At 34.5% G+C, this 25,889-nt stretch overlaps 1 protein-coding gene across 6 annotated transcripts in view; it reads right to left on the minus strand.

Moving 5' to 3' along the window:
• WASHC3 (WASH complex subunit 3) overlaps positions 1–25,889 on the minus strand; it is a 49,285-nt gene that overhangs the window by 13,514 nt on the left and 9,882 nt on the right. For 3 of the 6 annotated variants that reach the window (XM_024448998.2, NM_001301107.1, XM_047428921.1), the window contains 3 exons: positions 19,701–19,766; positions 17,752–17,859; positions 13,515–13,622 (listed from right to left, as the gene is read on the minus strand). In XM_024448998.2, coding sequence (XP_024304766.1) covers positions 13,515–13,622; positions 17,752–17,859; positions 19,701–19,766 — 282 coding nt within the window. Of the gene's footprint in view, positions 1–13,514; positions 13,626–17,751; positions 17,860–19,700; positions 19,767–25,889 lie in introns of all 6 variants that reach the window. The other 3 variants (XM_017019383.2, NM_016053.4, XM_011538423.2) reach the window with 1 other exon arrangement.

Consider the following 25,889-nt stretch of genomic DNA (forward strand, 5'->3'; position numbering starts at 1 on the left):
CAAATGACTAAAATACCAGTGGAAGCCATACAATGAATAGTTAACAATATGAATAGGTATCTTTTCAAAGATTTCAGAGAGTTCCATTCTTAAGTATAGCTATATTAATGTTCTTTTAATAAGCAAAGAGTCCAATTCCATTTGAACACTTTAGACACAAAAATCAAATCTAATTCAAGAACCTCCCTGGGACTATATTACACATCTTCCCAACACTGGTACAAACACTAATGACAATTTTAGAAGTGTATACGTTGCAAAAATAGTAAAAACACGTGAATCTCAGAGTTCAGGTTAAGAATATGAAAACACTAAGAAAAGAATATGACAGAAATAAAGACACATTTACTTGAAAAGGAAAGAGACTTGATGTATAACTAAACATTTATTCCAAGTTCACTTGGTGAAGCTCTAAGGGGAGAAGATGTAATCAAATCTCTGTCAACTCCCCTCTCTTCACACCATCCCCAAGGATAAGAAACACTAAACTGATGTGTTCAATTTGAGGGCCTTGATTCTATCTCCTTAAAGGAGGCAGGGTCATGGCATGGGACCCTCCCTCTCACCCCGTGTGGCATAAGAAGGAAAGTACACCCAGATACACTCAGGAAAAAGCCCAATCACCTCTCTATTGCTGTTGCACACACTTCTTTTATCATTAGCCAGTTGTGATGTTCATTTTTTAACTTTTATTTTTAATTGACAAATAATAATTGCACATGTTTATGTGTATAATGTGCTGTTTTGAAACATGTACACATTGAGGAATAATCAAATTAGGCTATTTAGCATATCTGTCACCTCAATTATTTATTATTTGCGGTAAGAACTTTTAAAATTCTCTCCCATAGCTATTTTGAAATATACATCTTGAAGATGGGATAAGAGTTTGTCTAAAATGAAAAGTACAAATACTTAGAAATATACACAAATCTTTATATAACCTATCATATGTACACTTGTCTCAAACTTTTAAGTATATGCTTGTCCAGATATACTCCTCCCCCTCCAAAATGCTGATTTTGTATTTCCCAGTAAAATCTGAGTTTAAGTCCAGGCATGCATATGTACAAACGTGACAGCTAAATTTATTACAAATTTAATATGAAAAGTCTTCAAAGTTAAGGACACTATATATAACAGAGTATCTTGCATCTCACAGATCTTGCCAAATTAAGTTAAATCATTAAATTTAATCCTCATTTTTTTAATAAGAAAATTTTATGTAAAAAAATTTAATTTTTATTTACTTCAAAAAAACTGTCCAGAAAAGATAGCTATGGAAAGAGTCATAATCACTTATTTTGGCTATGGCGGAGAAAATACCCACATCCCCTTTCACAGCCTGCTAGGTTAAATAAGGTTAGGAATGCAAAGGCTTTCTTTTGAGTTTACAGGTTACTTAGAAGACTCTCATGAGAGGTAGCAAAGGCAATGTGGTCATTTGCAGGCCCATTTATATACTTATCTTGGTAACTGTTGTTTTGTCTTATAAATTAGTAAAATTTAGCTTATTAAGACTCAGGTAAAAATGAATACTTAAATGCATTCTAAATAATACATGAATCAATATAAATAGTACCATCTTTGAATTCTCTTCAAAACCATACCTCTGAAAGCAATATTGTTCCATGAGGCAATTTTAAAGATATTCTGAAAAGTGCATTATAATAGGTTTGGAAGTCAAAGAAGGTAGAAGATAAGTTTAATGACCAAAAAGAGAAAAACAGAAAAAAGCCCACTTGCTAGGGGCATCCGATGTGAACAGATTCAAGTTTGGAATAAAGAAAGCAAGAAATTAAAACTAACACCACTTTTGAAATATATATCTAAAACTAAGACTTGAATGAAATATATTTAAAAGCAAAACATACTTAATAACAAAATTAATTTTAATAATAGAGGAGAAAGCTGATTACTTGAATGACACAGCTGGGAATTTAACTTGATAATTAAATCTCATTCAATTATTTAGGATAACAGGGGGTAAGTTAGGAGTTTGAAACATTCCACAAAAAAATATGAGTGCCAGGAAAAAAGAGAAGAAGAGCAGAGTTAATGTCATAGTTCTTTAAAAAGACCTCTTGGCTTCTACTAACTATGGTTTGATGGTATAAGGTCTTTCTATAAACTCAAGCATGTGATTTATTTATTATACTTTAGCATAATCCACAGGACGTCATTGGAAAGGTTACACAAATAAGTTACAAAGCCAAGAAAAGAGAAGCAAGGAGAATGAGGTTGAAAAAAAAATTTCCTAAAATATAGCAAAGAAAGTGTATGTTGGGTGGAGGTGAGGGGAAGCAATGCGTGGGAAGGGAGGAATGGGGAACAAGGAAGTTGGTAGAATTAGATAAGCCCTCTATTTGAACATCAGCTTCATGGAATTGATTATAAGAATAATAAGAATTATAAGAATAATAAGAATTATATAATAAGAATAATAAGAATTATATCACAATAAGAATTATAAGAATAATAAGAATAAGTATAAGAATAATAGAAACCTAAACCTGTAAGCTCCAAATTTGAACCTTAGTTTCTGGGGCCTGCTTACAGCAGAACAGCACAGATACACATACAATTTGGCATTTTTAGTCATTTCTGTATATGCATATGGGTAAAGAAAAATATATACAATTGCTAATATCTTAACTGATTCTGAGACTTACTATCACTACCTTAATACGAATCTCATAAAGCTTGATAAAAAAGAATAATTTGGCCTGTGTTCCAAAGAATGCATTCCCAAGGGATTTGCTGTTGTTTCCAGTGATGTTGCTTAGAAAATTCGTTGTTTTGCTATATTCTTCCTTAGAAGTCAAGTAACAGAGTCTGGTTTGTTAAACACCAAAAAGAAGTGTCCAATTTCTGATCGCCAACAGACAAAGCTACTGGTGGTCTAAGAAGGACAAGAAAGACCTCAAAACTGAAGTCTACTGAACTGTGGGATTTTTTTTGGCAAGTGAAAATGACAGTGTGTCCAACATAAGTAATGAAGAAGACAGAAGGCAGCCATAAGTCTGATGTTCCAAAAAATCACGTCTGTATTTGCGTCACTGGAGAAAGTGTGTAAAGAAGCCACACTAATGAAATTATGATGGCAGCACTAATAGTTAAATACTAGTTTCTTATATCACAAAAAACTGTTTGGAGGTTTATAGTCCTGCCAATATTTACATTTATTTCTTATTGTGTTAAAGAAAGTCAAACTACAAAATCCTTTTATAAACCATGTTGAAATTTTCCTAAAGTTTTAGATTAGAAGGGGGAAAAACAACTTCATTGTCAATTTAAGAGAGATAAATGACTTTCCTTGTTTAAAAATAACTAAAAATGCTCCTTATATTTTAGAGTTTTTCCTCTTAATTTAAGAGTGTGAATTGTAACAATTCAATTATGAAAGATGAAAAACATGAAGTTTTCTTCCCTACCTAAGGCAACAATAAAAAATAGATCTATTGAATACGTTGGTGGAAAAAACTTTTTCTTTGCAGAGCACGGGAACTAGTAGAATTTGAAAAAACGCTACGGGTTGTTAAAAGGCAGCTAGTCCCCCAATCAGGCTCCTTTTACTTAAAATTTAACTTAATAAAATGGACTCAATCATATCTTTGCCTTCTGAATTTCAACAGTCCTATTTAAAAAATACTTTACTGAGGCCGGGCGCAGTGGTTCATGCCTGTAATCCCAGCACTTTGGGAGGCTGAGGTGGGCGGATCACCTGAGGTCGGGAGTTCGAGACCAGCCTGACCAACATGGAGAAACCGTGTCTCTACTAAAAACACAAAATTAGCCAGGAGTGGTGGCACATGCCTGTAATCCCAGCTACTCAGGAGGCTGAGGTAGGAGAATCACTTGAACCCAGGAGGCGGAGGTTGCGGTGAGCCAAGATTGCACCATTGCACTCCAGCCTGGGCAACAAGAGGGAAACTCCATCTCAAAAAAAAAAAAAAAAAATTATTGTATTTTATGAAATAAATTAGTAGGATGTACATTTAGGATGAAATTTTCAGATTAAATATTATATATAATGGGTTATTGTTCACTGAACAAATCATAACACAAAAGAAAACAAATGCTCAATGACCTTTTCTCCTCGAAGCTTTCAGTGAAGAAATATCAATTAATTTAAATAAATTTTTTAATCACTGTAAAATGAATACGGCTACCTAAAAAAAATGGAAACTTTATTTCTAATGACCTATACAGATCTAGAAAATATTTGGTAAACAACTAGTTCCTGGAAACAAATTATTCAAAAATGAACATTTTCACAGCAATTAAATGTCACTAAGGATGGCTATAATAAAAAATGTGATATTAGTATTAAAATATTCTCAGCTATATGATTATGACAACAGTGGTATCAGTGAAGAATAAATAGATGAGAATTGAGGGAGGCATATATAGTATTACCAAGTAGGTACTGACATGACAACCATATAACTATTTAGTATCTGCCCACTACATGGCCAGTACTTCCTTCACTCTTCTAGCTTTATCACACACCAGAAAAAGCAAGAAATTTAAAACCTGAACTTTTAGCAGTATCATTGCTTACTGCCCTCTAACAAACATTTATAACAAGAAAATTTAAAAATATGCAAAAGGGCAAATACATAATAGGCAGATTTAATGTCGTTTCAACATTAAATCTGTACACAGTATGACTGGTTCTAAGCTCCCTAACTTTCAAGGCAACATGGAGGGTTCAAAAGGCAGCTAAAATGATGGAAAAATCCTAATCTGTAAAACTGGCATAATCATTCTTCACACATGATTTCTTTAGAGGCCAGTTCACTGACTTTAGCAGAGAGTAATTTTTGAAATTTCTTGTCAAAAGTATGACAAAAGTTATCTTTCTCTAGGTCCTCTGTATACTGGGGCCATGGCAAAGCATAGGTAATATGGCAGGGGCTTCCAGTTGGTGGCTGTCACAGTTTTCTGCTTAAGGGAAAACTCTATCCAAACCTTGATGCATTTGATATAAGCTAGAAAGTAGAAGGAGGAGGACAAATGTCAGAGGTCACTTGAATCCCAATTATCCCAACTCAAAGTTACTATTCATATAGTTTACTATTTTGCTAAGCTTTGCTTCTTTCTTTTAGTTGTAGTCAGACCTGCCTAACTTACTTAGTTCATGGGAAGAATAAAATATTTTTACTTAAAATTTTCAAAGTTGGCTAAATTATACAATTAATTAAACAGATAAATGTTCATTTGTATCTTTTCTTTATATTCATAAGTGTGGCAAATCAAAGTCATTGGTCATGAAGCTTTTATTTTTCAATAAACAGAATGAGGCTAAAACAACACAAAAGTTATTCCCCCATCCCACAAACCTTCATGTACTCAAAAAATACTGATCTTGATATTGATTAGTAAACCTTAGGTATTATAAAAGAAATGAAATACATATTAATATTATACCTATAGTTAAAAAACAATGAAAAAAGAAATCACATCGTTATTAAGCTAAATCTGTAACAGTGTTTTTCACAGCTATGATTATGTATGAACCAGTAGCTCCTCCTTTTTGACTATACTTTGACTATACTGTTGATCACTGATGAGGAAACTACCTGGAGTTCTCTAAACCATGGAAAGCCACATTGGGGTCATATCCAAAAAATGTTTTAAAGACTTTAATTACTCTTACAATAACTGTATCTTGTTTGTCATCTAAAGAACATGCTACTTCATGCTTGACTGGTTTCACAAGGTCCAAGGTGCATACCTTCTTGATGGACATCTTTAATAATCATTTAGAAGCTCCTCATCCTTAGGTAATGGAAGTCACATTTCCTCAGGCCAACATCCACCACTGGCAATGGATGCATCAGAACCACCAGAACCAAAGAGATTATTCAATTCACATTTTAAGCCAGCCAAAGAAAATAGAGCTTTAAAAAAATCTAAGTGTCTAAGAGACTGTTTTGGCAAATATGGTTTCAAAAAATACAAGTCATTAGCTTCTTAATGTGGAAGTCGGACTTGCCCAATGCACAATTTATTACTGGCAGAGGATTCACCATGATCTGCCAGTAAAAAGGGGAGAATTGTTGGAAAAGTGATCTATGTACACAATTCCAGTTAAGTTATAAAAGCAATATGTAATTTAGTAAAGGCTTGTGCTGCACTATTATGACAAACATTAAATCAAAATCAATTATCTGCCACATTTGGAACACAACAGTATTACTCACTGAAAAATCTTGTATAAAACTTGGTTAAAAAGGAAAAAAAAGTCAGAAAATGCCAGCAGGTGTTCCAGGAACATTCATTAGTAATGAGATCCAAATTTGGGGATCAATTAATAGATCATAAATCTAAAAGGAACTTCAGATCTCATTTTATGTATGAGGGAACTGAAGTCTTGAGAGGTGACATGACTTGATGTGATGGCAAAGCTAAGAAACTATACCATGTTGTATTCCAGAAGTACTGGGAAAAGATCTGGGTGTATTCCTAGGCAATGAAATTTTCTCCCAGAGAAAGAACAACTTTTCTTTCATTGTTTTAATCTAATCATTGTTTTATCTCTCAGAGGGTAGTAATCCAGCAGTGACAGAAAAAGGCATGGAGACCAAAAAACAAGGTATTACTTATTACTCTGTCAACTGGTACTTGTGATTAGTGAAGGACTGTGTTGGTTTTTGTACAAAGGAGTTTATATTGATTAAATAGTTTTCATTATCTAGACTGTAAAATAGATTTACAGGTATGTGGCAAGTGAAGCAAGGCACATATAAAAGCAAGGCATTCCAGGCGATAGTTAGTACCCAGGAAGAGGGAGTTTTCATGGCAGTTTAGAGAGGAAGCCAAAGGGGTCTGTAGTTCATCCTGATATCCAGGAAGTCTTAAAATCAGGAAAAATCTGTTTTTGTAACCCGCAAGACTTTCATTCATATCTGAAGTGAATGATCACATCAGAAGTCTGCAAATTAAAGCTTTCTATGCTACAGAAGAAGCTGAAAGGTCTTGAAAAACACAATTCTATCCTATTACAGAAGACAAAAATCGTTCTAAACAATAATTAAAATAGTAGGAGAAATGATTAAAAGATTGTTGAGGAGCTATGTATCAAGATGATACTGAGTGAAAGTATATTACACTTTGGAAAAAGAAACTCAGTATAATTGTAATAGAGGTATTAAGACTCTTCTTATGGGGCAGTAACTAATATTTTTAAATGACAAGAATATAAAGGCAACTGAAAAGAGACAAATCCTATTATTTCCCTTTCACAAGGTGAAAGACCTTGTGGCACTGTTAATTCCCTTTTGAATGCATAGAGATGGTTATTCTTAAGATCTTAGGATTAGATATTGTTGGTATAAAGGATTAGATATTGTTGGTATAAATACAGTTTTTTTTTTCAGAAAGAGTTTTTTTTTTTGAGACTATGTCATCTTCCTTTGTGTTAATATAAACAATTCCCTAAAAGCTGACATGTAGGCTTCTAAAACTGTTTCTATAAGCTGTAGTCATATGTACAATGGATGGTAAACTACTCAAGGTCATACTAATGGACAAATTAGAACTCATTTAAAGAATTATGTTGTTATCGGTCTTTCTCTGCATTAAGAACTAAAACTGAATTTTGAGTGGTGGGTAAGCAAATGTTAGTCACCCCTAAAGTTGAGAAAAATTAGGTATTTTAATACATATCTAAAATCTTGTTGGGAAAGTGAAACACTTTTCAGTATGATAAGGTAGTCTGTAATGAAGTCACCCTCTAGAATTAGCTGGGGTTAGGCTCCTCCTTATAGCCAGTGGTCAAATTTGCTTTTTTATCTATATCCCCCTGAACCCTGTTTGTTCTCAGTTATACTCAAAGAATTGAACCACATTTTCAGAGTGAACAACTGATTAGAAGACAAACACAGAAAATAGGAAGGCATATCACCATCCTGAGGTATAGAGATACAAAGCTATCTGTATTCTTTCCATGTCAATGACAGAAAATGAATGGTTCAATGGTACAAATTATAATAGGTCTCTCGTGATTGTTCTTCACTCCACTTCTCTGAGGCATTTTCTAAAGCAAAGTGGTACTGTTATCTGCTCTTCCAGTTAAAAGTTATAATTTGGTAATGGAATGGATATAGGAAACACAACTAGCTATGCAGATACTGCTGAAGAATAATATTTTAGGTGATAACTTATGACATTAGAATGACTGTACTCTTGGAAAAGTGCTAAGTGGTTTGGAAGAACCAAAAGATTATGTTGACATAATACCCACAGGTATGTTCAAGAAGCTTTACGCTGAAATCAAAAGATTAAAACATCCTCAGTTAAAATTTTAAGACTAGACCTACGAATAACAATAATATAATAGGGAAAAAACAGTGGAATAACTGCCAGGAAATTATTAGGAGGAAAATGTAAACAGCAAACAAATCCAATAGCCTAAAAAAAAGTGTGTGTGTGTGTGTGTGTGTGTGTGTGTGTGTGAGTATGTAAATACAGCAAATCTGAAATTTCAAAATAAGTAAATCTTGGGGACTGCTAACACTTAATGGGAAGAAACTTGTGTATGAGAACTGGCATTTCAAAGAAATGTCTTACAATGTTTCCCAGCAGAAAGAGGACAATAACCGTAAATCAAAATATATACACATATATGGAAATTCTTGAACATGAGATAAAGAAACCCCTAAGTGAGGCTAAAAGAAGGCAGAAATTTTATCAGATGGGGCATACTTTTTAGCTACCTAGCCGGATGGAAGATTTAGATAAGGCTTTCTTAAAACACTGTAAACAAGCAGAAAGATACAGACATGACGGGGGATATTATCCATCTACAGGTACTAGCAGCTTAATTTTGCCTATATTAGAATACCTGATAAATTCCTAAGTTGCCCCACTGAAAATTTAATTCCTCAATAAAGGGAGCAATGAGGCAAACATGCAACTATTTGCGCCTAAGTTTGAACACAAAGGCCAAAATAAATGATAATGAAGAAGGGACAGGAATTCTGGTAGTGATTATGCCAAGGAAAGAAAATTCCTGGGCATTGTCAAATGTGTAGCCTACATCTGTTGTTGGAAATTTTGACAGTCACTCATGATATGCTTAGAAAACAGAAGAAGAAGGAGTGAATTTATAGATGGTTCAATAATCATAATCCAAAAAATAATGATTGGCAGATTCATGTCAACCTTGAGGAAGACCTCTGCTGGGTCTATTCTTGTTTTAGTCCTGAAAAATATTTTAAATTGATAACTTGAAGAAATGAGAGCATATTTATACATATCCAGGTAGCACAAAGTGAAGAAGGAGAGATCATATGCAGGATTACATATAGAGTCCATTAACAAATATTGATTGAGCACCTTTATGGGTAAGGTGTTAAAATGAATACACGGATTAATCAAGATACCATTCTCCCTCTCATGGTTCCATTTTCAACTGGAGATACAAAAATATGTACAGATAATCATAAAACAGAGTATTAAGTGACAAACTCCAGGAAGAATACCGGTAAAGTCATTGGATAGGTCAACAAAAGGAGCTATTACTTCTAGCTTTACGTGTGTTGGTGGGTTTAGAATCTGGAATGATTTAGTGGACGCAATCGTAGGAGCATGTTAGATAACAGAATTTGGACATGCAATAATAAAGAGAAAGAGAATCTGGATTCAGAGAAGGAAAAGCATGGAGCTTATATAGGGAATGGTTTGTGGTTTTGTCTGATTAAAGAATGGAGTTCAGGGCTGGGTGTGGTGGCTCACGCCTGTAATCCCAGCACTTTGGGAGGCTGAGGCAGGTGGATCACCTGAGGTCAGGAGTTCAACACCAGCCTGGCCAACAGGGCGAAACCCCGTCTCTACTAAAAGTACACAAATTAGCTGGGTGTGGTGGCGGGCACCACCTTAATCCCAGCTACTCAGGAGGCTGAGGCAGGAGAATCGCTTGAATCTGGGAGGCAGAGGTTGCAGTGAGCCGTGACTGTGCCCCTTTGCTCCAGCCTGGGTGACAAGAGAGAGACTCCGTCTCAAAAAAAAAAAAAAAAAAAAATCCAATTCAGGACAGGGAGCAATAGGAAATAAAAGTTGGGTAATAAGGTTCTGGGATGCAGGTTGGCACAATAAACTAAAAACAATAAAATTAAATTTAACTTGGATGAACTTCTAGTTTTAGGATGGCAGTTTGATGTAGCTCCCCACTTTCTTCTTGAAAATCACCCCTAAACAATTCGAAACAGAATATGACCTCCAACTTTAATGACTAAGAGGCATATATGAACCAATTACATAAAAATTAAGAGCAGATAGAAGAATGATTGATGACTTAGCAGAGCAAAAGAAGGTCAAGTCCATGTGCCTGAAGGAGGAGATGCCAGGAAGAAGCAGCCCTTCCAGAATGCTGAAAATGCTTAGGAAATAGATATACCCTCACCGAAGGCAGAAAGGAGACAAAGGGCTAACAACAGAAAAATTTGTCTTAAATCAGAAACAGTCTGAGGCAGAAGAAATTGAACCCCTAATCATACTCAGTGACATCAAGCAAAAAGGATGGGCTAGAGTTAAGTGCTAAGTACTGCTAGAAAAAAGTTAAGGCTTTTTAAAAATAAAACAACTATTTATTTTCTTAAATGCTTTTAAATTTAAAAAATGTAAATGATATTAAGATATAGTTTAAAAATATTTTTAAGCAATTCTTAATCAGGAGTTTTTTTCCAAAATACATATGCTGTATGTACCAAGTACCAACTCTAGAGATTCTAATTTTGTAGGGTAGGGCCCAGGAACTTATATTTTGGAAGTTTCTCAAACCACTGAGTTAGTGTGAAAAAGGAGTCCATCACCTAAACCTATCAAAAGGTGAAATAGTATAGACAAATTATAAGCATTTTCATTCACAGGACTATGTACAAGGTATTATTGCAGGAATGAGGAATACTGTAGTACACAAAAAAATCCCCTTTGCTTGTGGAGTTTATAACTTTGTAGGGAAGAGAGAGAGTAAATACATAAAATATGTAGAATGCTGGAAGTTGATAAGAAGAAAAATACAGCAGAGAAGGCGTAAAGGGAATTGGGTAGGAGGACACTGCAATTTAAAATAGGGTGGCCAAGGAAGGCTGTACTTAGAAGGTAATATTTTTGAATACAGACTTGAAGGAAGTGAGGGAGCAAACCATGAAGATATCTGGGGAAAAGTGTTTCAGGCAGACAGAACAGCTGAAGCAAAGGCCCTGAGACAGGGGCTGCCAATGTATTTATTCAAGGGACATAAAGGAGGCCAGTAGAGCTGGAGAAGAGTGAGTGAGGATATGAGATCATAAAGGTAACAGGGGAGCTAAACTGTATAGGATTTCTTGGGCCTGTGAAGGATCTTGGCTCTTATTCCTAGTGAGGTGATAAGACATATGAATAAAAAGTAAATATTTAAAGGGTCATTTATTTTATTCAGTTTTTTTTTTGTTTTTTGTTTTTTGTTTTTTTGAGACAGAGTTTCACTCTTGTTGCCCAGGCTGGAGTACAATGCGTGATCTTGGCTCATTGCAACCTCCGCCTCCTGGGTTCAAGCGATTCTCCTGCCTCAGCCTCCCGAGTAGCTGGGATTACAGGCATGTGCCACCATGACCAGCTAATTTTGTATTTTTAGTAGAGACAAGGTTTCTCCATGTTGGTCAGGTTGGTCTCAAACTCCCGACCTCAAGTGATCCGCCCGCCTCGGCCTCCCAAAGTGCTGGGATTACAGGAGTGAGCCACCATGCCCGGCCCGGGTCATTTATTTTATATGTATATTTATGACTGAAAAGCAATTGAACTTGTTGACGTAATTAGTAACAAAAATAAAAATTGCAAGTGGTATCTGGAAACCTTAGTTGGCTAAATAAATCTAGATAATACCTAATACAGTAGCTTAGCTTCAAGTAAGTGTTTGATAAATATTTGTGAAATAAACAGATGGTGGATTTAAAAAGAAAAAGATTTTTTGAAGTTCTTATAAAATTGAAGACAATTATCAAGAATTTAACAGTTATCCTAAGATGCAGCCTTCATAAAGATTTCAGGGCATTTTTACAGAGTATCACCTAGTAGATTTTCCTGTTTGTTATTTTATATAGGTTTGGCAAGAAGGGGCTAACATAAAAAATCTTTCTGAGTCATTTAGAAGCATCTCCCTTTTGTTTAAAAGAGTGAAATAGTTTTTGTTGTTGTTGTTGTTGTTGTTGTTTTTTAACAAGTCTATCTTTTAAGCTTAGGCTTTCCTGGGTTCTAGCTTTAAAAACGTGTTCATCATGATTCATACTTAAACTGGCTTTGTTTTATTCTTGTTAATTAAAAAAACTTCATCTATTTTCATCCCAAAGTCTGGTTTATTTTTTTCTAAATTGACCGCCAATATCCTGAGCTCTAGGCTTCAGAAAAAAAGAACTGTGGAAGTGAAAAATCCACTTCTGATAGCTAGGAAAAGTGCAGCTTCCAAATGAGCCAATCTACTCTTTCTGGTTGTCAGAATTTGCTTTTAAATTACTAGGTGATAAACTATCCCATGGACAGCAAAACAAAACTGTCCTTTAGTATTAGTATTGTGCTTCTTTTGCTTGATAATATAATTTTACAAAAGCATTATTATTATTATTATTATTTTTTGAGACAGGGTCTTGCTCTGTCACCTACGCTGAAGTACAGTGGCACAATCAGTGAGGTGAGCCACTGCACCCTTGAACTCTTGGGCTCAAGCAATCCTCCCACCTCAGCCTCTTGAGTAGCTGGCACTACCAGGTGCATGCCATCATATGGAGTTAGGTTTTTTTTTTTTTTTTTTTTTTTAATGTAGAAGTAGGTGGTCTTGCTTTGTTGCCCAGGCTGGTCTCAAACTCCTGTCTTCAAGTCATCCTCCCACCTCAGCCTCCCAAAGTGCTAGGATTAGAGGTGTGTGTCACTGCGCCAGGCTTTAACTGTTTGATTAACAGAAAAATGATGGACAACTACCTCTTTCAACTACTGAAATACTTTCTAAAGGAATAAAAAAATGTTAGCTTCTGCTATCACAGACAACTGCAGATATTTTTGGTACCACAGCATGTTATGATTTCTCAGGAAAAATATGAATTCTGAAGTCATATAATATTAAAAGCATTACACATGGCCAAGAGATCATTGATAAACATAAAAATTTTTAAAAAATATTATTTGTGCTAATAATATGGGGATTAAGCTAGAGTCAACTGATTTACCAAATGAATAGTCTACTTTCATTACTTTCTGTATCTAAGATTTGCATTGATAACTTTGTGTAATGCAAAAAAATGTACATAAATCTATATTAAACTATGTTAATTTAAAGTGTGGGATCAATTCTAAAGATTTGACTTCCTTTTTTTTTTTTAATCAGAGAATTAAAATAGAAAGGAAGTAAGAGAATAGAAAACTTGGTTACTTGGTTTAGCAGTTTTCTCAGATTGAAAAAAATAACAGTAAAACCTCCAGGGTTAAGAATTTCAAGTGAGGCTGCTACACAAAGAAGACAGACCAAGTTAGCTTACCACTTGAACCATTTTGAGATATCTGGCATATCTTGGATCCTTGGCTACAGTTAAGATATTTTCTGCTGATACTTCACTTTCCTGTAGTCCAGAGTCTTGTGTACTGTTCTGCTGTAGAGAGTATTTGGTGTAAATCTTTAGACAATTTACAAAAGGGGTCTATCATGTTACTTAAAAGGAATGTTTCTTTCCATAATTCTAAGGCAGTAAATTGCAGAAAAAAATCATCTCCCCCAATTTAAATACCAATAATTTAATATGAGATATGTTTCCAAATATCTACAAATATTTAAATATCATTTCAGAGAAGGTTACATTTCAACACTATATTGGTTCCTTAAAATGCAAGTATATTCATGCATTAAAATAAAAATTCTGCTTTACTTGTCCCCAGAGTGCTGATACAAAGCATGAATTATATATAGGTGGTGATACTATTTTAACAAAACTTTTAAGAAAGCTAATAAAACTATCAACTGTTTACAAATTAATAATAAATTTATTGAGATAATGATGAATTGATTTCCTAGGTATCTAGAATCTACCTAATTGAGCCCTTTATTTATTAAATCATTTTATTCTAAGTGGACATGGCTCTTCTAACTTTTAGAAAGCAATTTTTGGAGAAGTTGTAAAAGAGAAGCCAGTTTGTCAGACAAAATTATCTGGTTTTATACATTTCAGATACTGATGGAACTATTAATGGTAACATTGTCTACAGAGTGGTTAAAAGTCATAATGTCATACTAAATATGACTTACAATAAAGAATACTGGGGAATGGTCTTTTTAGATAAAAATGCTATTGTTATACAGGCAGTCTTCATTTTGCATGGTACCATGTTACTGAAACTTGTGCATATGAGAACCATATCCTTGCTTAAATGCAAAACTAGATAGAACTGCCTGTATACAGTACTTGATTTTTCTATCAAACCAAACATTTAGAAAAAGCTTACTTTGGTGAATCTCTCTCATTATCTGTATATAAGCATTAAAAGAATTTCCTTAGAAGAAATCAATTTTATGTCTATTGTTCATTCTGAAATGTAGATAAATCAATATCTTTATATCTTCATAGTCTTTAGACTATGAATGTGAATTACATATTGAAGTTTTTCCTCAGATAATTCAAATATAAATTAAATCTGTCAAAAACTACAAAGCAAATAAACATCCAAAAATCCTTTAGGTTTCTTCTGTTACATGATATTGCTAAGTTTTACCAAAGTGAGTATATATATATACATATATATACACACACACACACACATATTCATCTATAATACAAATACAAAAATTCCAAAACACTGTTAATTAAATAAAAAATTAAAACAATAACCAAGTATGTTTTTTAACAATTTATGGAAATTAAACTCATATAATAGCAAAATGGTGCAAATGAACTACATCCTGGCCAGATATCAATTCTCAGTCGTTAACTTTTGCCTAATAACCAAGACCTCAACAAGGTTTAATTATGAAATGTATTACACCTTTGCTATTTGAATGACCCATTAAATCCTCTATCATATCTCTCAACTGTCCTTCATTTATTCTCAAATCAATCTCACTCTGCACAATTGGATATTCTATTGTGAATAATGATGAAATCTGAACCATGAAATTAAAGTTGCAGAAAAATCAGTACACAAACCTTGGGTCTTTGACTCATGTATAGATTAGAGAGAGTGATAAACAGATGATTTTTTTAAAAAGTGCATTATTCTCCTTTGTCTGATAAGTGAGTTGACTATAATGTCAATGAAAACTCTGGATTAAGCAATACTTAAGCCCACTTCAAAATATTTTGTATAAAATATACCAATTAATAACAATGAATAAATGAGAAGTTGATGTGAATATTAAGAACATGCTGAGCAGTTATTTTATTAAGCTAATCAACACACAATTTTATCACAGTATTTCAAACTTTGGAAGCCAACAGAACTTCATAAACCCTCTAAATAAATACATATACAATTTTTAAATAAAATTGCCAGAGATATACCAGGTTATTCTGAATTTGCAAAGCAAATTAAGAAATTCAGCTGTGATTACTGGTAATCAATTTTTGGGACATTAAATATGTGAGGACAAACACAACTGCATAAGAATTTTAAAGGGCATATTATAGATGGCATTCATAATAGCACCTGGAAAAATTAATAATCAAAGTTAGACAGGTATACTTAAAAATCTTACAGAAATATATGACAGCTCTATCTACCACATAATAACTACTAGGTAGTGTGGAAATATTTTCTTAATATTCTTTATAGACGCTTTATTTTAGAAAGAGGATAGTCATATTTAATTGAGAGAATGTAAAGTTAAACTCCTCTACAACATCTGGATATCCTCTTGCACATTTTATATATTTGAGTGGCCATAATGAAATTTGCTATATTAAATAAATGGATGTTAAATTTTATAATATCTAATTAAGTAAATGATCATCTAATTTATTACCCAAATATATACTATATTCTAAATATATGGCTCTTTCTACAGGGCCTCATACCACGCATCCTCAATATGTTTAAATAAATTGAATACAGGTACTGAAAACAGTGTAGTGTAGTGTAGTATAGTGTAGTGAAGCAGGTAAGTGCTAGGGCTCTTGGCACCAGACTGTCTGGGTTAAAATTCTAGCTCTTACGTTACTTTTCGACCTTCAGCAAGTTACTTAACCTCTATATACCTCATTTGACCCATCTATAAACTAAGATTGATAATATGGTGCTTACATTATAGGGCTGTTGTAAAGATTAAATTAGTTTATGAAAGGCACTTAGAAACGTGCATGCCTTGGTACACAGAAAGCACTCTTGAAGTGTTAGCTGTTATCATCACTGTCAACATCATCGTGATCTAAAAAATATCCTGTGAAAAGTGCCTCCAGGTACAAAGGCAGAATTCCATTTATAAATCTGTTTGTTTTATTTGTTTATTATTATTACTTTGGTAGGCCACCATTTTGATGATTACTTTGTTTTAGATTTTAATACCTCGCTGAGATACACTAGAGATTGTTCTCAAACAACAAAGAATTTTTATTTTTTGAAATAAAAAGTAATAGAAAATTTAAATTCATACAGAAGCATAAGTAAATGTTAAGATCTAAGAGCCAAATGTAAAGTATAGCTTTTACTGGGATGCTGATTCAAACGAATCATCTTCAAAAACACACTGGTATTTCTAAGATCAGTAGCTCTCAAATTTTAAGAGCCTACAGATCACCTAGGGGTCTTGTTAAAATGTAGATTCTCATCAGCAGTTTTGGGGTGGAGCCTGAGATGCTTCATTCTAACAAGCTGCCAGGTGATGCCCATGTGGTTGGTCCATGGCGTGTACTTGAGTAACAAGGGGTTAGACAATACCAGAGAATGTTTTATTTATTTATTTATTTTTTATTTTTGAGGCAGGGACTTGCGCTGTCACCTAGGCTGGAGTGCAGTAGTGTAATCTCGGTTCACTGCAACCTCTGCCTCGTGGGCTCAAGTGATCCTCCCACCTCAGCCTCCCGAGTAGTGAGACCACAGGTGCGTGCCACCACACCTGGCTAATTTTTGTATTTTTAGTGGAGATAGGGTTTTACCATGTTGCCCAGGCTGATCTCGAACTCCTGAGCTCAAGCAATCCACCTGCCTCAGCCTCCCAAAGTGTTGGGATTACAGGCCTGAGTGACTGCACCTGGCCAATTATTGTTAATTACACTGTATATGATAAAGGCATTTATATAAGCAAATGTTACAAAAGAAAATGTCAAAACTTTTCAGAGATGCTCAAAAATTTATGCAGGGTGAGATGACAAGATGTCTGGAATTAATTTCAGCAAGTGACCAAAAAAATAGATGAAGCAATTGTGAAAACTGGTGAATCCAGGTCTATTTTTGTGTATGTTTAAAAATTTTACAATAAAATATTTTAAAAGTACATTTCTTCTAAGAACCTAGAAAAATTTCTAATTATTTTGAAGAAAATAATTATTTGAAGCTTTTTCCTAGTCCTATATAGACTGATTTTCTTTTTTACAGGCAAAGAAAGTATTAACTTCAGGAAGCCCTTCAAAATAACACAGCTAATTTGTTTTTCCCAAACTTCATTTTCTATGTTAAGGTTTTAAAATTTTACTATTAGAAGTTTTACATGTTTATTTTTCTTCCTTCCAACCTGCTGCTTAACACTATCAGTTTCAACCAAGAACATCTGCTCGTTTCTTAGAACTCACTTACCTGTGGTTGCTCTGAAGTGGCTTCAGGATGTGCTCCATTTGTGACACTGGTGACATTTAAAGGAGATACTTCAACTGTGACATCATCTAGGCCTGGGATAGATGACAACTGAGAAAAGAAAATTAGTATTGGAATATGAAGATAGTACTTGCATAAATAAACACTATTTTTAATAGCTGTCTTAAGTTTTAAGGCTATACAAATAGGTTCACAATATCTTGTCTTTAATTTTCCATGTCATAAACTAAAAGTGAAAGACGGTCACAAATTCTTTTGAAGAACTTCTCAAAAATCTAATTTAGTTTACATAACCATCATTTTCAAAATATAGACAATCCTAGTGTAAGGACTGAGAGCCTGGTCTTTGAAGTCAGACTGTCAGGTTTAACTTTTAGCTCTACCACTCACAAGCTGTGTGATCTTGTGTAAAACTCCCTGTGTCTCAATTATCTCACCTGTAAAGTGGAGATAAGAACATGTACCTAGAAAAGTTGTTGTAAAAATATTTCTATTGATAATACTTCGAAAAAAAAGGGCTTTGTGCAAATTTTGAGTTTCAATTATCTAGGATATGACAAAACTCTTGTCTTTACACTTTAATGTGTGACACAGCTCATTCTTTTTTCTTTCTTTGAACATTCACCACTGAATGTTATTAAAATATGTTTCTTCTATGCAAAAAAATGGGCATATTGTTGGTATTTCAACCTGAAATGGTTTAGCTTTCACTATGAAATAGTTAAGCATTTCAGGTTAGATCTGCGAGACCCATACAAACCTTCTTTTCTGAGTTCATCCTGATATCAATGACACGCATTTGTCGATGTTTGGCTAACTTTGGGGATGACTCTATGGCCATGGAAATAACTAAGGTTAACTTGTCCATATGGTCATTTAATGTGCGACCTTGGACTCTAACTCCCAGGAATTCCTTAAACATTAAAATAAGACACATATTCACATTAAAATAAGACACATATTCATTATAAAGAATAATAATTAAAAAAAAAACCAATGGTAATAAGATCTCAAGCAGCAATACTCATTGAGAACTGTTGACTGATAACCATAGTTAGCACAGTGGCTATGGCCCAAATAGTTTCAAGTGGGTATGGCTGCTAGAGGACTATCTTGAACATGTTCAAGACCGGGTTTCCAAACTAGAGAAATGTTCTAAGAGAAACACAGTTGCTGAAGTCCATAAAGAGACGTAGAAAGTACAAACTAGACATTCTGGTCATATTAAAAAGGGATATCATTTTTTTCTTCCTCATAAATATTTACAGAATATTTCTTAGTTTTATTTTGGTAAATGGACAAAGAAAATATTAACTTCAGGAAAGTTAGTCATGAAAATACACTAGTGTCTCCATAACTTTATAAACAGAAAAAACACATGTAAAAAAATATTAAAAATGAAACCAAAGACATCACTGTTATCAAAATCTTTAAGCTTGCAATCTAAAACAGTCTTCTATTTTTCTTAGTTATTATTTGCAATTTCTGACATCAAAACTGGTATTCCTCATTAGCATTTAAGGTATCTGCAAATAGAAACAGCTGATATTGTCTCTAAAATTTGCTCTGAGACATCTAAAGATTTATATTAGTATTGTATTATCAAATAATAACTAGTAAAATAAATCTGGAATTTTCTATCAAATGAAGTGAACTAGATAACAGCTCAGCTTGTTAACATGTTACTCGCATTATGCGTTTGCCTAGCACAATGAAAGAAATCGCAAACCATGTGTACATTTGAATTAATGGTTCATAATGAACACCATTTTCTTTGCAACTGCAGTAAAATTAAAAACACAACCAGTATCACTTCACAGATACAGAAGTTAAATGGAATCACTCCCAAATGCAATGAAAATTAAGTATGATTAAGAAAGCTGGTATATGCACAGCAAAGTTTATACTACAAATTATTGAGAAATACCAACCTTTGCATCTAAAATATTGAGAGTTGTTTCAATTTGTTGGATACGAAGTGAAAGGTCTGCCAGTTTCTGTAAAAGAAAAATTAGAGACATAAAGACTTTAATTAAAATAAACTGTTAACAATAACTAAGGGCAGATATGAAAATATTAAAAACCATTAAATATTTGTCATATTCTAATACAGTACTGTCTTATTTACATGAGTAGGAATGAGAACTCTTCTATTACGTGTATTATAATGCTTCTCAGTTTCTTTTTTTTTTGGGACGGAGTCTTGCTCTGTCGCCAGGCTGGAGCGCAGTGGTGCGATCTCGGCTCCCTGCAACCCCTGCCCCCTGGGTTCAAGTGATTCTCCTGCCTCAGCCTCCCGAGTGCTGGGACTACAGGCACGTGCCACCACGCCCAGCTAATTTTTGCATTTTTAGTAGAGATAGTGTTTCACCATGTTGGTCAGGATGGTCTTGATCTCTTGACCTCGTGATCTGCCTGCTTGGCCTCCCAAAGTGCTGTGATTACAGGCGTGAGCCACCGCACCCAGTCGCTTCTCAGTTATTTTATAAAATTATATTCACTTATAACAAAGTTGACATTTTCTGCAAACTCATTATCAGAGCAGTAAACAATTGTTGAGACCAGAATATAAACAAACCAGGACAGAGCCTTTTGTTTACTACTGTACCTTTAGTGCCCAGAATAGTACCCTGACACTTAATAGGAGCTTAATAATTATTTGTTGATGAATGAAGAAATTTTTTCATAGAAAATAAAAGAATAAAAATTATTCAAAGACACGCTGCAACAAGGTCTGCCTTTATAAATTACTTAAATGCATCAGCATATACAATTCGTCCCAGATTTAAACATCTGTAGTTTGAAAAATAAAGGGGAATGGAATTGGAAGATGAGTAATTCATTTTGGAAAGAGAAGAGAAAAAACTAGAGTATTAAAATCTACTATCAAAATGCAAGATAAACCAGATAGAAGAGCTTATCATGCTTGTTACTCTGTATAATTAAATTGTCAATGTACCTCTGTGTAAATATACACCTATACAAAGAAAGGTAGCATCATAAAATATGACCATTCAAGTAAAGAACATTTACTTGAAACCTCCTAATCTTAAACATTATATTCAGTCACATAATCCAAGAGCAGTTGCCCAGTTTACAAGCTGGCAGATACACAGCATCCTGATTGTATTCTGGGATATTATTAAGATCCTGACTATTAAGTAGAACTTTACCATCCTGTGAAATGGTCACTTTGCCCACAATTAGAGGGGGCAAAAAACTGAAAGTGGCCACAAAGCAGATAGTGCTTCTTTACAGATCACTTATTTTTAGTTTAGCATCTTGATATCGACAAAGACATAATCTACAAATAAAGTATTAGGATCTAGTTTTCATGGTATCAAAGCTAAGTTTACCCTTGACTTCTAGAATTCATTCACATAAGGCTTTTAGGTAAACACCAATACAGGTTTATAACATGTATTATGAATGAATCCCTCTCCAAATTATAAGTGTATTCCTTAAAATCATAGAAATTTAATTTTGGCAAATCTAATCAGTCTCAATTCACTAGAGAAAAAATTCCACAGCAAATTAATATGTAAAGTGAATGAGAATTTCCAACTTATTTAAAAATGGACATATTGGTTTGATTGAAGGAAACACAAAAGGAAACAAAAAAATGGAATTAAAAATTTTTCTGTTTTAATATACCTATATATTTACTTTTAAGCAATAATCATCAATACTGTAAATATCTGAGTATTTACCTTGCTACATATGGTACAGTGTATATGCAACATATCAATTGAAATCTTACACCAAATCTATAAAGTAGGAACTATTATGCCAATTTTAAAGATGAGAAAATTGAGTCTCATACAAGTAAAATATCCTGAACTCAAACCCTCCAACTCCAGAGGCAATACACTTCACGAGATTTTTTTGAGATAATTTTACACTGTTAAAACATAATGGTAAATTCTTGGGTATTGCACAGAATTTTTGTTATCCAAAGCTAACAAATGATCAATTCGTTTCTCACTAAGATGATTCTGTGCCAAGAGGAAAAGCCTTTTGCTCTTCTGATTCTGAGATGATCATTTACAAAGTGGTTCTGAACTACAGTACATGAACTAGGATGAGAGAAAAAATTCTACCTTTATTTTTATCTACTTCTAGCTTAAATTCAGCATTGTTTAAAAACATAGTTAAAAAAAAAATCACCATAGGCTGGGCACAATGGCTCATGCCTGTAATCCCAGCACTTTGGGAGGCCGAGGCAGGTGTATCATCTGAGGTCAGGATGGTCAACATGGTGAAACCCCAACTCTACTAAAAATACAAAAAAAATTAGCCAAGTGTGGTGGTGTGCGTCTGCAGTCCCAGCTACTCAGGAGGCTGAGGCAGGAGAATCGCTTGAACCTGGAAAGCGGACGTTGCAGTGAGCTGAGATCACGCCACTGCATTCCAGCTTGGGCGACGAGTGAGACTCCGTCTCAAAAGAAAAAAAAAAGAAAAAGAAAAAAAATCACAGTGGTTTTAGGATCTAAGACTGTCACCAATAGAAATCATAGTTTTTTTTTTAAATCACATCACAATTGCTGCAGATTTCCTTATACTTCAAAATTAAGGTTATTAGACATATGAAAGGATTATATAATTTAATGCTTTAATAAAGAACCTACTAGTATGTCATAGTTTTAAATTTTTTTAAGTATATAACTGGTTTCTTTTGTAATCCTATGCATTTTATTCTATCCACCTGAAAACATTAATTTGGTTTCACTAGACTGTCAAAGGGTCCATGGCATGATTAAGAAAGAACTACTTTTCAAAGATAATTCAGTATAATAAATGGTTTTGTATGTTCCAGTGTAATTATTGGTATAACATACCTGAATGTATACTTTTTAAAGAGCCATTGTCAGGTGAAAAGGTATACCTGGGTTCATTTATGGGCTGCTGAAGTTCATTTCTAAGATGTGTATGCTTGTGGCATTTTCCTTATACAATCCCCAGACCACTATAAAACAAGTTTTTCAATGCTAGCTATATTGACATTTGTGGGTGAAATATTCTTTGCTGCAGGGGACTGTCCTGAGCACTACAAGATGGGTAGCAGAATCTCTGGTCTCTATCCACTAAATGCTAGTAGCACTCCCCAGTTATTACAATCAAAGACACCTCTAGACATAGCCATATGTCCCCTGGTTGAGAGCCACTGCTCTAAATTATGGATGACTGTGGATATAACATAAGTAACATAATCGGTGACAGTAGCTGTTCTCACCTCTGAAAGTTTTAGCAAGAGGAAATGGAAAGGTAACAGTCTTTCCCATCCATTTAACCATCGTCTTCATGAAGACTGAAAACAAACTTGAAATGCTATGGTTTGGGATAACAGGGGAATTTACAAAGTCCCTGATATTTGTCAGATAAGCTGAAAGCTTGATTTACTACCCATGTATTTCCAAGGCAGTACATTTTATAAAGTTAAAAAAAAAAGGACAAAAGAAAGAAGGAAATATGGAGTTACTAGTTGAATATGGAAACAAAATAAAATGCTGGTTTTTCATGGTTGTAAAATATCTTGTTTATATATCCATTTCTCTAAAAGAGAAACAGTATTTTAAGATAATGGATCTCTTGGTATACCCCACTGTGTTGCGTGTGCCCCAGAAGCCAGAAAAGGAAGCAATGAATGGTTTTATTAGGTTGTGTCTGATACTTAAGCCCAGCAGTGGTTAAAGATATAAGAGCAAATAAGGATTTAAGCAAAATATTATCTGATTAAAGGTTAAGTCCAATGGCAGGCTAAAAAAATGAATGTAGAAGATAAGCACTAAAGAAACTTTCAGGTTATGTGACAATTCTCAGCACTTTTGCTTGTACCTAAAGATTTTAGAAAAAAGAAAAATTTCAGAATTTAAAAAAATTATTTAAAAATCCAGTATCTTAGGCATGTAATAAGTCTGAGTTTGGCTGAGGGTGCTTGTAATCCTAGTACTTTGGGAGGCCGAAGCAGGCAGATGAGCTCAGGAGTTCAAGACCAGCTTGGGCAACATAGGGAAACCCTGTCTCTACAAAAAATACAAAAAATTAGCCAGGTGTGGTGGCACGCACCTGTAGTTCCAGCTACTTGGGGCGCTGAGGCAGGAGGTCTAGGCTGCAGTGAGCTAAGTTCACTCCACTACACTCCAGCATGGGTGACAAAGTGAGACCCTGTCTGACAAAAAAACAACAAAAAAAGTTTGAATTAAAATAACATTCTGGCCAGGTACAGTGGCTCACGCCTATAATTCCAGCACTTGGGAGGCCGAGGCCGAGGGATCACTTAAGCCCAAGAGTTGGAGACCAGCCTAGATAATGTAGTAAGATGCCATCTCTAACACACACACACACACACACACACACACACACACACACAATTAGCCGGGTGTGGTGACACATGCCTATAGTCCAAGCTTCTAGGGAGGCTGAGGTGGGAGGATCACTTGAGCCCAGGAAGTTGAGGTTGCCCTGAGCTGTGATCACGCCACTGCACTCCAGCCTCGGTGATACAGCAAGACCCCGTCTCGGGGGGAAAAGAAAAGAAAAAAAAATTATTAAACAAACAAACAAAAAACCAAAGTAACACATTTGGCACTCCTGTTTATAAAGTACCTTTGACTTTAAAATTCACTATAAGGTTAAATGCTCAGGTTTCACCTGCAATATGCATAGAGCTTATGTTGCTTCCTGCCAACCCCTCAAAATTTGCAGTCCCAATGGATGACCATAAGATTTTGCTGACTAAAGCAAGAATAAAAATGCTCACTGGGGATTTGTGATGGAAGAGGAGATGACCCTAAGTACCTCTGTAATGTGGGTCTGATTCTACTACTTTCTCTGTCATCTAATCTCTCTTCTACTCTGGTGCCAATCACTGGAAGAGTTACAAAAGTAGCCTAATATGCAGAAAGTTTTTGCAAAGTTGAGTTCTTCACAGAATGCAGTTTTATACTCTTCTCTTTAATGAAGAACTCTAGAAACAGTGCCACTGATGAAGAAAGAACCCTAGCAATTTGTTTCAAACTTAATTCTGGCTTGAGGGTTTATCTGTGACTGAAGTTGTTTAAGGTTGGGTTTGGTTCAAACCAGATCCTGTCGGGGGGTGGGAAAAGTTTTCTTTTTCCTCCCAGTTCACTCTCAGTTCAAAAACTAACAGTTGAGGTTCCTCTTTTGTTGAGAGAAACAGTCAGTTGGTTCTTGTTTGAGGCTTTAAATAAATAAGGACTAGAGGCCTATTAGGCACTATTAACAAAAACATTTCAAAACACCAAAGTGACTTTACCTTGGGAGAAAATGGCACCTTACATTTGAATACATGTATCTTTGGAATTGACATAAAAATATATTACATCAAACAGACATAGCATAGCAAAGAAGTGAATGAGTCTAAAAATAGATTTTAATATAGCTATAAGAAGGTACTTGTACTGCACTCTCTCACTTGAAGTTGACATAAGCATGCTTCTTAATCAGATAAAGCAGTGCAATGTAAGAAAGCAATGAGATATTGACTTTTCCAGTTAAAAAATCAGTGGGAATCCAGTTCTGCTACTTTCTATCTGTGTATGTGCAGCTAATGCAGCTACAACTACTGGGGGCATGCAAAGATATGTTGAATGAATGAATGACTAAGCAAATGATTTAAACTTCTCTACATCTTAGTTTCTGTATCTGTATGAGTGGGATAACTAAACCTCTCTCAAAGGACTGACTGCGATAATTAAATACACATAAAGCACTTAGTATGATGCCCAGCACAGAGGAAGTACACAATAAATATTAGTTGTTATCTCATTGAGCAGTCTCCAGCTGACATGAATATCCAAATTGCTAAAATATATATTGTAGACAATCAGTTACAGTCAACCCTAGATTATCATACATAAAGGAGAAAAAGGTGGGACAACAGCAAGATGGGGGAATAGGACTTTCCAGCACTGATCCTCCCACAGAAACATCCATTTGAAAAACTATTCACGCACGAAAATACATTCTCAAGAGCTAAGGAGACCAGGTGAGAAATTACAGCACTGGGTTTAGCACAAAAGTAAGAAAAAACACACTGAAGAGGGTAAGAAGGACAGTTTTACAGAACTCATGTCACCCTTCCCCCAACTCCAGGCAGC

Source organism: Homo sapiens, chromosome 12 (assembly GCF_000001405.40).
Source record: "Homo sapiens chromosome 12, GRCh38.p14 Primary Assembly".
In the NCBI taxonomy this organism is placed as follows: Eukaryota; Metazoa; Chordata; class Mammalia; order Primates; family Hominidae; genus Homo; species Homo sapiens.